The 12,412-nt window shown below is 38.4% G+C and overlaps 1 protein-coding gene across 10 annotated transcripts in view; it reads left to right on the top strand.

Moving 5' to 3' along the window:
• Positions 1-12,412, top strand: part of ECPAS (Ecm29 proteasome adaptor and scaffold) — a 123,699-nt gene that overhangs the window by 28,077 nt on the left and 83,210 nt on the right. For all 10 annotated transcript variants that reach the window (NM_001363756.2, NM_001364929.1, XM_047423107.1 and 7 more), the window contains 2 exons: positions 4,752-4,882; positions 11,813-11,929. In NM_001363756.2, coding sequence (NP_001350685.1) covers positions 4,752-4,882; positions 11,813-11,929 — 248 coding nt within the window. The remainder of the gene's footprint in view (positions 1-4,751; positions 4,883-11,812; positions 11,930-12,412) is intronic.

The raw sequence follows: 12,412 nt of genomic DNA, 5'->3' as shown, positions 1-12,412 counted from the left end.
TCTTTCAGTCTTCTTCAGTTCTGTTTTCAGTCCAGTACAAATCTTTCTTTATGCAGGCTTCAAAATTAATTTTCTTCTTGACTTGGGGGGTAGTCACAAGATTGTTTATAATAATTCATTAAACCATGCATTTATGTTTTGAATGATTTTCTGTATGTATTATTACATAGTTAAGAAGATTTTAAAAACCCACCAAAGACTTGTTTCCTACATCCCTCCATATACCAAAAGAAAATTCCAGATGGATCAAAGACTTGAATGCAGAAAGCAAAATCATAAGTGTACTTGAAAGAAAACATAGGTAAATATACCTGCCAGGAGACTCCCAGTTCGCCCCTAGCTTCAGTGATTGTCTAGTAGGACTCACAGGATTCAGCATATATTTGTACTCCCAGCTAAGATTTAGTGTAGCAAGGTCACCAAAGGGAAAAGTCATGTGAGTGAAATCTGGAGGAAACCAGGTGCAAGCTTCCAAGAATCTTCTGGTGGAGTCACACAGCACATACTTGATTCCTCCAGAAGTGAGTTGTGACAGCACCTCTGAAATGGTATCCACCAGAGATGGTCATCAGAGACTCAGTGCCTCAGGTTTTTATTTGGGGCTGGTCATGTTGGTACCTTCTTCCTAAAATGTACCAAAATTCCGCCCTGAAGGGAAGCTGATGTTCAGCATAAACAATATTATTTGCACAGACAGGCACAATGAACCACTCTTAGCAGTTCTGGGAATGGTGGGAACCCTGCTGAAATCCAGGTTTCCAGATATCAGCCATGGGCCAGCCTCAGCTAGAAAGCACATCTTTCTTTCTTTCTTTCTTTTTCTGAGACAGAGTCTCGCTTTATTGCCCAGACTGGAGTGCAGTGGCACGATATCTGCTCACTGCGAGCTCCGCTCCCTGGGTTCATGCCATTCTCCTGCCTCAGCTTCCTGAGTAGCTGGGACTACAGGCACCCGCCACCACGCCCGGCTAATTTTTTGAAATTTTAGTAGAGATGGGGTTTCACCGTGTTCGCCAGGATAGTCTCTATCTCCTGACCTCATGATCTGCCCTCCTTGGCCTCCCAAAGTGCTGGGATTACAGGCGTGAACCATGTGCCAGGCCGAAAGCAAGTGTTTCTACAGGTAGCAGTCCTGGGTCTGTGTAAACTCTTCTCTGCACAATATAATATTTAAAAGTATTTTGCAGTGAAAATGACTTTTCTAAGCATGCCTAGAAACTCCGAAGTCATATAGGGAAGGAATGGTAAGTTTAACTATACTCAAAAGACTTAGGCCGGGTGCAGTGGCTCATACTTGTAATCCCAGCACTTTGGGAGGCCAAAGTATGAGGATCGCTTGAGGCCAGGAATTCAAGACCAGCCTCTGTCTTGAGGCCAGGAATTCAAGACCAGGAATTCAAGACCAGAGACCTCTGTCTCTACAAAAAATAAAAAAATCAGCTGGGTGTGGTGGCGTATGCCTGTAGTCCAAGCTACTTGGGAGGCTGAAGTAGGAGAATAGCCCAGGAGGTTGAGGCTGCAGTGAGCTGTGGATAGCGCCACTGCACTCTAGCCTGGGTGTCAGCAAGACCCTGTCTTATTTAAAAAAAAAAAAAAAGGAAAAGAAAAATATAGCAGTTATATCTGTAGATGTTGACCTTTCTTCTTTTTTGTGAAACTTGAACAAGCTTATCTTTTATTTAAGTATAGATGGGTCTGTAAAGATGACGTAACAGTGTTAGATTGATTCACCTCAAAGGTAGAAGGCTTTACCTTTTCCTCTGGTGTAGCCAGCCTGTTTTAGCAGGACCCTCTCACATGGTGGTTGGTGCTCTTTCTTCCCATTCCCATGTTCTCATAATTTTATTGTGTTTAGGATGTTATATTTGCCTGTCTCGTGAGGGAGAGAAGATGTTAGGTGCTATGCTGGGCATACATAGAAGCATCCAAATGATTGCATGAAAAGGAACAGGGACTGGATATTCCACACCCTCCTGCCGCCGCACCCCACCCCCCCATCTCCCCCCACCGTTTTCTTTAACTTTGACAGAGATTCTCTAGGTCAGTTTATTATGAAGAGTTTAATTTTCTGCCTTTGTCCACAGAACACTTCTTTTACAGTTTCTGTAGCTCAGATTTGTAGTTTCTATGGCCTAAAAGCTGTAAGGCCCTAAGGAGCTGCTCCTTTACCTGTAACTTCTGCAAACACTGTGGGTTGAACTCAGCATTCCTGAGAACTTCTTTTACAGCAGCATTCAGCATTTATCAAATAGAATCACTGGTAGTCTCAGATTGAGCCTTTCTTTCCTCCCTCCCTTTTTTCTTTTTATTATTAATTTTTTAAACTAAACTTGAGACTTTATTTGGATTTTACCAGTTTTTTCATTAATGTCCTTTTTTCCCCCCCAGGATCCTGTGCAAGGGACCATTTAGTTGTGATGTTTTCCAGCTTTCTCTGGTCTGAGACAGTTTTTTAGTCTTTTCTTATTTTTCATGATCTTGAACGTCCTGAGCAGTACTGGCCAGGTGTCTTATAGAATGTCCCCCAGTTTGGGTTTTTCTGTTGTTGTACTCATGATTAGATTTGGGTTATGGGTTTTTGTTATGAATACCAGAGGGGTAAAATGCCTTTCTTGTCACATCATTTCAGGGACACGTGATATCTGCACGACATCATGAGGTTTACCTTCTTACTGGACTAAGATAGTATTTGACAGTTTTCTCTACTGTGAAGTTAACATTTCTCCCTTTTTGTATTCTAAAGAAGTAGTCACTAAATCTAGTCTACCCTCAAGGGGGAGGGTGGGCAGGAATTAAGCTCCACCTCCTGTAGGGGGAAATAGCCACATATATTATTTTGAATTCTTCCTATAAGAAAAATTTGCCTCTTCCCCCCCAGTTTCTTTCATCATTCAATAATTATTTCCATCAGTATGGACTCATGTAGATTGACATTTTGGCTTATAATCCAATGCTGTTATTTATTTTGTTCCTTCTATCGTCATTGCTTGGGCAATGACGTTCTTTCAGGTTGGTTCCTGTATCCCTTTGACTTGTTCCATGTTCCATTTCTTTATTTTTGAGACAGGGTCTTACTGTGTCACCCATGCTGGAGTGCAGTGGCATCATCATGGCTCACTGTAGCCTCAACCTCCCAGGCCCAAGCAGTTCTCCTACCTCAGCCTCTGGAGTAGCTGGGACCATAGGCACTCGCCACCATGCCTGGCTAATTTTTTCCTTTTTTTTGTAGAGATGGGGGTGTCTCTGTGTTGATCAGGCTGGTCTTGAACTCCTGGCCTCAAGCAATCCTCCCTCCTTGGTCTCTCAAAGTGTTGGGATTATAGGCATAAGCCACTGTGCTCGACCCCATGTTCCATTTCCTTTTAGGCACTACAAGACGCTTCAGGCTCATCTTGTTTTTGACCTGCCCCAATCCCTAAACTCAGACCTTTTTCCAAGGAGCTTGGTTCCTTTTCCTGGAGAATGGTATTGAAAAACAAGATCAATTCTGGGTGTTAGGTATGCTTGTTGCTACTAGGATGTCATTGCTTCTGCCCCTCTCAGGATTGATCGATCAATCTGTTGATCTGTCTGTCTGTCTATCCATGTATCTATCTACGTCTCTGTCATTGATCCATCTATTGAGTGATCTATGTCTATCTAATCTATCTTCCTGTAGAAAATTATTGTGGAAAATTTCTGGCAAACACAATAGTAATTCTCAGTATCTGTTATGAAGCTTGAATAATTATCAATTAGTGGCAATTTTGGTTTTACTTACATAACCCCTCCCCAGTGTCTCCTCATTATTTAAAGAAAATTCTACTAGCTGTTATTTCGCCTGCAAATATTTCCATCTTTATCTCTAAAAAAAGATTCCTTTAAATATATATTTTAAATTGAAGTATAGTAGATACAGTAGAAGGTATGAAAGTGTAGAGTTTGATGAATTTTTATAAATGTATTTATCTCTATAATCACGCAGATCGAAATATAGAACATTTTTAGCTCTTTAGAAAACTCCCTAATTCCCATGACAGTTTTTGTAGGGACCTTTAAAAAACAAACCTAACCACAATACCATTATAGTACCTAAAACAATTTTAACAGTAATTCCTTAAAATCAAATATCTAGTTGTTTGCATAGGCTCCCCTTTCATTCCCATCTTCCTGCTTGCCGCTGCAGTGTACTGGTTGAAGAAGTTACCTTGTCTAAAGTTTATCACAGTCTGGGTTTTGCTGAGAGTATCCCCATGGTGTCACTTAACATATGTCTCTCATAGTGGCTTTCTTGGGGAAACTTGGCTATTTTTCTAACTAGGTAACCCTAATACAGTAATGGGCAGTGATCCTGTCTTTGGAGAAACTTCATCAGTAAGATGATTTCACCAGGGATAGATATATTGTCCCTAATAACTGATGGTATCTGATTAAAGTTTTGCTGCCTTGCTCTACTAACTAGTTCCAGAAGATGCCTTTAGAAATCTTGTATCCTTTCCAGTATCCAGTTAAAACTGAATAACGTTGCATGTGGGAGAGAACTTTTTGTTCTTGGTTTTGTTTTCTTCCATTCTAAAGGGTAGACCAGGGTAGAACAGTTAACCTTTTGGTGGTGGTTTGTTGCTGTGTCAAAATATCTGTATAGGGCTAGCTGTGGTTAAAGTCCTGACTGAAGGATTGCAGTACAGAAAAAAAGAATAAGCTATAAAAATAATTGGTCTTGGTTGTGTTTGGCTTGCTAAGTTCTCTCTTTTTTTCTTTTTATATTATAGATCAGCTTGAACGGGTCTTTTTACGACTTGGCCATGCTGAAACAGATGAACAATTACAGAATATTATATCTAAATTCCTTCCTCCTGTTTTGCTCAAACTCTCTAGCACCCAAGAAGGAGTACGTAAAAAGGTAAGCATGTTGGGACAGCTGGGGGAATTAAATGATGAATAAATGAATATACATTATCAAGTGAGTTTTCTGTTCCCATTATTGAGTTCTAGGTTTGTGATCTTAATTATGGCCTTTCAAAATGGAGAGTAAGTCTAGAACCAGCTTTTATGATTTAAAAGTAGCTCTTGTATCCTTAGCACAGCTGCATTTAGCACCAACTGTCTACTTGGCATCAGTGTCAGATAATATAATTGAGATAATTATCCTGGAATGTATGGAGGCATGATCTGAAATCCATGCCATTGATTCCAATATGAAAGGCATGTGGTAATGGGGCAAAAATATTCTTTAGTTAATTGTTGACAATGATTATAACCTTAACTAAAAGTAAGCAAAATAAAAAAAAATTTAAGCAAAATAATTTTATAGCTCCTGTTTCAGGATTCTGCAAAGTACTCTTACAAAAAGTTGGATAACTGTCACATCAGATTTTCATTTTCTTTCTTTTTTTGTTTTTTGAGATAGGGTCTCACTCTATCACCCAGGCTGGAGTGCAGTGGCACAATCACAGCTCACAGCAGCCTCGATCTTCTGGGCTTAGGCCCTCCTACCTCACCCTCCCAAGTAGCTGGGACTACAGGTGCAGACCACCATGCCTGGCTAATGTTTAAATTTTTTGTGGAGACAGGGTTTCGCTTTGTTGCTCAGGCTGGTCTCAAACTCCTGAGCTCAAGCAATCCACCTGCCTCGGCCTCCCAAAGTGCTGGGATTACAGGCATGAGCCACTGTGCCTGGCCAGTATTTTCATTTTTTAACGAAACTGTTCTACATGGAACATTTCCCCCTTGATTTGTAGAATATTTCATTAGTCTTCCAGTATATTTATAATAGGTCATCCAGTCTTTGAGCTATGGTCAGGTTTTATTCCTTGGGCCACAGTAATTGGCAGTGACTTCCTGGAGGTCTGCCCTGAGAGGGATTCCAAGGTCTGATTTGGGTTCAGTGCAGAAAGAGAATCTTTAGGAATGTCTTTTATGTTTATATCTCTTTACAGGAGGGAATGGGCATTCTTGTCATATATTTGGCATGTCTGCAGTTAATCCTTCTTTGCTGAGATAGACGTGCATTTGATTATGTCACTCTTCTATTTAAAACCCTTCTGTGGCCTTCTCTTACTATTAGGATAGCAAGGTCTAAGAGGCCCTTCGTGAGTTGATTTCTGTATACTTCTTAGCCTTATCAGTTTTGTTATTTAGCAAATATTTACTGAGTGCCTTCTATATGCCAGGTCTTGGGGATATGGTGATGAATGATGACAACACCTAGTTGGGGAAATCAGTATAAAACAGTCAGGCAAATAGTACATAGTTGAAATTTGTGATACATGCCAAGATGGAAAAGGAAATATATTCTTATGAAAGAATATATTTGGGATATAATTTAGACTAAGTGTGGGGTATAAGGGGAGGCCTCTGTGGTGTGCAGGAAGTAGCCAGGCCAAGAGGTGGGGGAGACCATTGAAGATAGACCCTGTGCAGGTGTTCTGAGCTGGGACAGAGTGTGATGCCTTCAGGAAATTGGAGAAGGCCACAGTGATGTCCCCAGTGCATGAGACGAAGCCTGATAGGAGGAAAGAGGTATTCCAGGGGCACTGATTTGAAAGGGTATTGATGGTAGTGCCTCCATCACTCTAGCTGTTGGCTGGAGAAAGACTTGGAGTAGGGGCCAAGAGTGGAGACCTGGAGAGCAAACAGGGAACTTTTGCATTAGTCCAGGCTTAGTATCGTCAGTAGTTTTTAACTCATTTACTTATCTTAGATTTTTTTTTGTTTCTTTGTATTTTATTTTTTTATAGAAAGTCATTCATCTCTGTCCATCTACTTTAAATGTTCAGTTGTGTATCATTCACTTCTATCATACTATTATTCTTTTTTAAAAAAATAAATTTTATTATGTATATTTGACGTTTACAACATGATGTTATGGAATACATACAGATTTTAAATGTTTACTGAAGCAAATGAGCATATCTCTCTCACATAATTTTATGCTATTCTTAATATTCTGTTATCATTATTTCAAATGGGAAATTCTATTCTTGTTTCTGGTTTTATTACTACCAAAGTTTTAACCTTTTAATGGGTCATTTTAAAAGGAAACTCAGCTTTTAGATTAATGTTCCCTTTTTAACTGTATTTTTTTCTATTTTTATTCAAATTATTTCTTTTTTTAGATAAGTTTTTCTTGTGTAAAGTTTTAATTTATATAATAACCTGGCAATGGTTCTTATGTGTCAAGAAAAGTGCTAAGGACTTACATCCTCATGAGATTATGTGAAGTAGGCATCCCCATTTTACAGATGAAACTGAGGCTTGGAATGATTAATGAACTTGTTTAAGGTCAAATAACAAATGGTCAGGCCAGGATTTGAACCCAGGGCTTTTGAACTTCAAAAGGTAAGCTTGGTCATCAAGTTAAATGCTTTATTCTTTATTTATAGTATGTTAAAAAAAAAGAACCAAAAATGACCTCAGCTTATGAATTTCTCTTTGATGACTATTTTAGTTATATGTAATAGTTATGTTGATGTGCAGTTTGGTCATTTTATCTTTGACTTATTTATAAGAGTGTTGTTTTTAGTTTCAAAATATTTGATATAAAATTTGCCTGGTTTTATTGCATTCTGGTCAGAGACCATAGTGTGCAAATGTTACAGTCCTTCAAAGTGTATTCTAATGTTTGTAAGAAAAGCCTTTCAGAAGATAAAAAGAATACTTCCTGTTTGTGGAATATGGAGCTCAGCATGCGCTAAGGCCATTCATTAGTAACATTGTGCATTCATGTCTTGAACCTGTCTTCCAGTCCTATTATAAGTTGGTAGTACTAAAGTATAATGTCCTACTGCTGTTACAGTTTTTCTGATTTTTCTTTCAGTTTTAATAATCTTGGCTTGCTGCATTTTGATGTACAAGTTTAACATCTTGTCTTTATTAATAATTATAGTATTTTATGTTTATTTTTTATCTTTTGAATTCCATTTAAGGTTTTTTTCTCCAAAACCTGTTTTATCCAAAATTAGTATTGTTAACCATTGTTTTCCTTCTGTCTGCTTGATAAAATATTTGCCCCAGCCTGCAATTTTAACCTTATTTACTTTGTCTGTATCTCTTAGTACAATGGAAATGTCACATATTTTTGAGATTTGAGTTGAGGGCATTTACATCAGTTATTGTGATTATTAACCTATTTTTAAAGTTTTAAGAAAAAATTTTATTGATACATAATTATACCATATTTATGGGGGTACATGTGATATTTTGATACATGCATGTAATATGTAATCAAATAATTTAGTATTTAGGATACTCATCACCTAATTATTTATTTTTCCTTTGGGTTGGGAACATTTTAGATCTTCTAGCTCTTTTGAAATATACATGATTATTAACCTGTTTTATCAGTTGGTCTGTTTGTCCTTTCCCTCTCTGCCTTTCTTTCCTTCTCTCACTTTCTCGTTATCAAACTGTCAACACTGGTGTCTTCAAGGGGCTGTGAAAGGACAAGGGAAAAGGGATGCTTTAGATTTTCCACTTGATTTATTATTATAAATGTATCTTTCTATTATAACTTTAAAAAGCAATGCAGAATAAAGTAATAAGGATAAATGTAATCATTTTGAACTTAATATATTTAATATATTTAATTTATACTAATAAAATAGCATTTTTATTTGTGCATGTCAAATTGGTTAAGTTGGAAAACTTTTGGAATAGGGGAAATGGAATCAAACAGCTAAAATAGCCTGTTATATATTAAGCATTGTGCTAAACTCTTTGACTTATCTTTTCATTTAATCTTTACAGTAGCCTTTGAAATGTTATCTGAATTCCACAAGTTATTTTTAAATCTTTCTTGGTTTATGGAGGATTCCAGACAAGATATAACCATATTTAGGAAATTCGCCGATATTTAACATGACAATAATGCTACTAGAAAATTAAGTAATTAATCCATTTAAAATTCAAAATAGGCCGAGTGCAGTAGTAGCTCATGCCTGTAATCTCAGCACTCTGGGAGGCTGAGGTTGGAAGATCTTTTGAGACCAGCCTAGGCAACATAGCAAGATCTCATTTATGCCAAAAAGAAAGAAAAAAACCATGCATGGTAGCATGTGCTTATAGTCCCAGCTACTGCAGTGACTGAGATAGGAAGATTGCTTGAGACTAGGAGTTCGAGGCTGCAGTTGGCTATGATAATGCCACTGAACTCCACCCTGAGTGACAGAGTGAGACCCTGTCTCGGAAAAAAAAAAAATCAAAATAAATTTATTATTAAAAAAAAGCATGCAATTGTGGGCAAGATTCTCTGTCTCCATCGATAATAATTTTCTATAGAGTCCCTCTAGGAATCAGCCTAGATTACAATGTCAGAAGAGGGCTCTTTCCTTTAGACTAGTTCCTCCTGATTGTTTTCTCTTGTCGCCTAGCGGTATCACAGATCCAGGACAGGTAGGAAGCTCGGATGAAGTATGGATGACAATGCAAGTTTCTAGCTTCTTGGAAGGTATCATGTCTCACTGACAAACACTTTCGCTGATGTGAGTTCAAATATCAGTGTTTGAAAAGGTTAAAAAAAATGGGCTCTGGAGTCATATTTTGACTTTGCTATTTGCTGGCCCAGTATCCTTGGACAAGTTACTTGAGGCTTCTGCTTCCTCATCTGTAAAATGGGAATGACACCACCTCACTGGTTGTTGTGAGAATCGTATTAGATAAGGAATGCCTGGGGGAAGAGTGCATAGAAACTGTGATAAATATTAGCTATTTTAATATTACTATTTATCATTCATTCAACAAACATTGATTACAGAGTTGTTATTATTCTTAAACATAATTCACCTATTTCATTATTGCTGTAGATCTCTTGGAATTTTTTGCTGTCGGTGTCAAACATCTCTACAGCTTTCTTTATGCATGCTTTGAGGCTAGAGCACGAATTTCAGAAATGAGGGAGAATAGTGTAAACCTGGCCCTGCAGAATATTTATCTTAAATTCTTGAGTCTTTCTTAGGCAAGGCCTTCTAAAAATCTTATTTCTCAATGCTCGATTTCTTTTCTGTTGGCAGAAATCTTTTTATTGTAGTATAATTGAGGCCATTTGATATGAGCCTCTGTACATCCCTTTCTATCCATGCAAACTGTTGACTTGTCAATTCCTATTTTGCTCTCTTTTCCCACTTAAAGGAGAGGAAGCTTGTTATTTCTTACAAATTATTTGATAGTATCAGATGATATTCAGAATACAATAAAAATGCCTCAGACTATTCACAATAGCAAAGACTTGGAACCAACCCAAATGTCCATCAGTGATAGACTGGATTAAGAAAATGTGGCACATATACACCATGGACTACTATGCAGCCATAAAAAAGGATGAGTTCATGTCCTTTGCAGGGACATGGATGAAGCTGGAAACCATCATTCTAAGCAAACTATCACAAAGACAGAAAACCAAACACCACATCTTCTCACTCATAGGTGGGAGTTGAACAGTGAGAACACGTGGACACAGGGCAGGGAACATCTCACACTGGGGCCTGTTGTGGGGGGTGGGGCCTGGGGTAGGGATACCATTAGGAGAAATACCTAATGTAGATGATGAATTGTTGGGTGCAGCAAACCAACATGGCACGTGTATACCTATGTAAAAACCTGCACATTGTGCACATGTACCCTAAAACTGAAAGTATAATAAAAACAAACAAACAAAAAACAACTCCCAGACAAAAATAAAAATGCCTCAGTATTTTGCCAGAATCCTTTTGTAATCCAGACCTTGCTTTTATGAACTCTTATCGTTCTGGGCTTCAGTCAGATGCAGTGTGCCCCATACCTTCTTATAACTGATACTCTGCTTGGAACTCATTAAATCTTAAGGACTCAGTGTTCCTGTCACTTCCTCCGTGAAGTCTTTCTTGATATAGCAGATACTTTTGTCTTCTGGAAACCCACTGTATCTTGTATGTCTCTCTTTTCATAGTATTCATGGTGTGTTGCAATAATCTGTTCTTCTTGAGGGACATGCTTCAGTCTAGGCCCAACTTGGATCTCAACTTTAACTAAAGGACATTGTAAAAATAAATTCACTTGGCCAGGCGCGGTGGCTCACGCCTGTAATCCCAACACTTTGGGAGGCCGAGGTGGGCGGATTGCTTGAGATCAGGAGTTTGAGACCAGCCTGGACAACATGATGAAACTCCATCTTTACTAGAATACAAAAATTAGCCAGGCGTGATGGCGGGTACCTGTAATCCCAGCTACTCGGGAGGCTGAGGCAGGGGGATTGCTTGAACTCAGAAGGCAGAAGTTGCGGTGAGCTGAGATCGCACCACTACACTCTAGCCTGGGCAACAGAGCGAGACTCCATGTCAAAAAAAAAAAAAAAAAAAAAGCCAGGAGCAGTGGCTTACGCCTGTAATCCCAGCACTTTGGGAGGCAGAGGTGGGCAGATCATGAAGTCAGGAGTTCGAGACCAGCCTGGCCAACATGGTGAAAAAATACAAAAATTAGCCGGGCATGCTGGCACGCGCCTGTAATCCCAGCTATTTGGGAGGCTGAGGCAGAAGAATTGCTTGAATCGGGGAGGCGGAGGTTGCAGTGAGCCAAGATTGTGTCAATGCACTCCAGCCTGCACGACAGAGCAAGACTCCGTCTTGGGAAATAAAAAGAAAAAGAGAAATTCACTAGTGCATAGATTTTTGGGAGACAGTATTTTTGAACAAGATTCATGTAGTGTATACTCCCTTTCTGGGATGTAAAATTTATACCCTTTAAAAGAACAAAGTAGCTACTATTCACTAACATAGATAACATCTGATAAATGAATTTTAAGATGAGTGGTTTTTAAGATATGATCAATAACTTTAGTTCCCATCTCTCTGTATTTTAGGTAATGGAACTGCTGGTCCATCTGAATAAACGTATAAAAAGCCGCCCCAAAATACAACTTCCAGTAGAGACACTGTTGGTTCAGTACCAGGACCCTGCTGCAGTTTCCTTTGTCACAGTGAGTGTTGTATTGGAATATTTTCTGACTTACAGCAAATTTTCTTTCCTAACATTTATTAGATGTCATCAACATATTGGCAAGTTTAGAATTTCACCTTAGACCACTTCTAAATGAAACATGAGTTTTTTTTTTTTTTAAATGACACACTGTTTTTCCACTGAGTACCAATCCAGAGGAAATGCTGCTTTACAGTAGCAGGGTAATGAATGGCTATTTACTTTGGGCAAAGGAATGTTGGTGAAATGACTTGTCAGGTATGTTGTTATATAAAAGAATGATTTGATTTTTGGTAGGAGACTGTATGAAATGGGTCTGAATAGAGGGAAATGTTATACGGCTTGGGCACGAATAAAGCCTAATGGAAGAAAAAATTAGTAAAATGGCAAGAAGATACATGAAAGTGAACTTAAAAAAATCTTTTGTGTTTTTGATGTGTATATTCAGAAAGATCTTTTTTATAAAGTGGAGTAAATCTGAGTC

This window comes from Homo sapiens, chromosome 9, assembly GCF_000001405.40.
Source record: "Homo sapiens chromosome 9, GRCh38.p14 Primary Assembly".
Lineage (NCBI taxonomy): Eukaryota > Metazoa > Chordata > Mammalia > Primates > Hominidae > Homo > Homo sapiens.
This window is presented reverse-complemented; position numbering and strand designations above follow the sequence as displayed.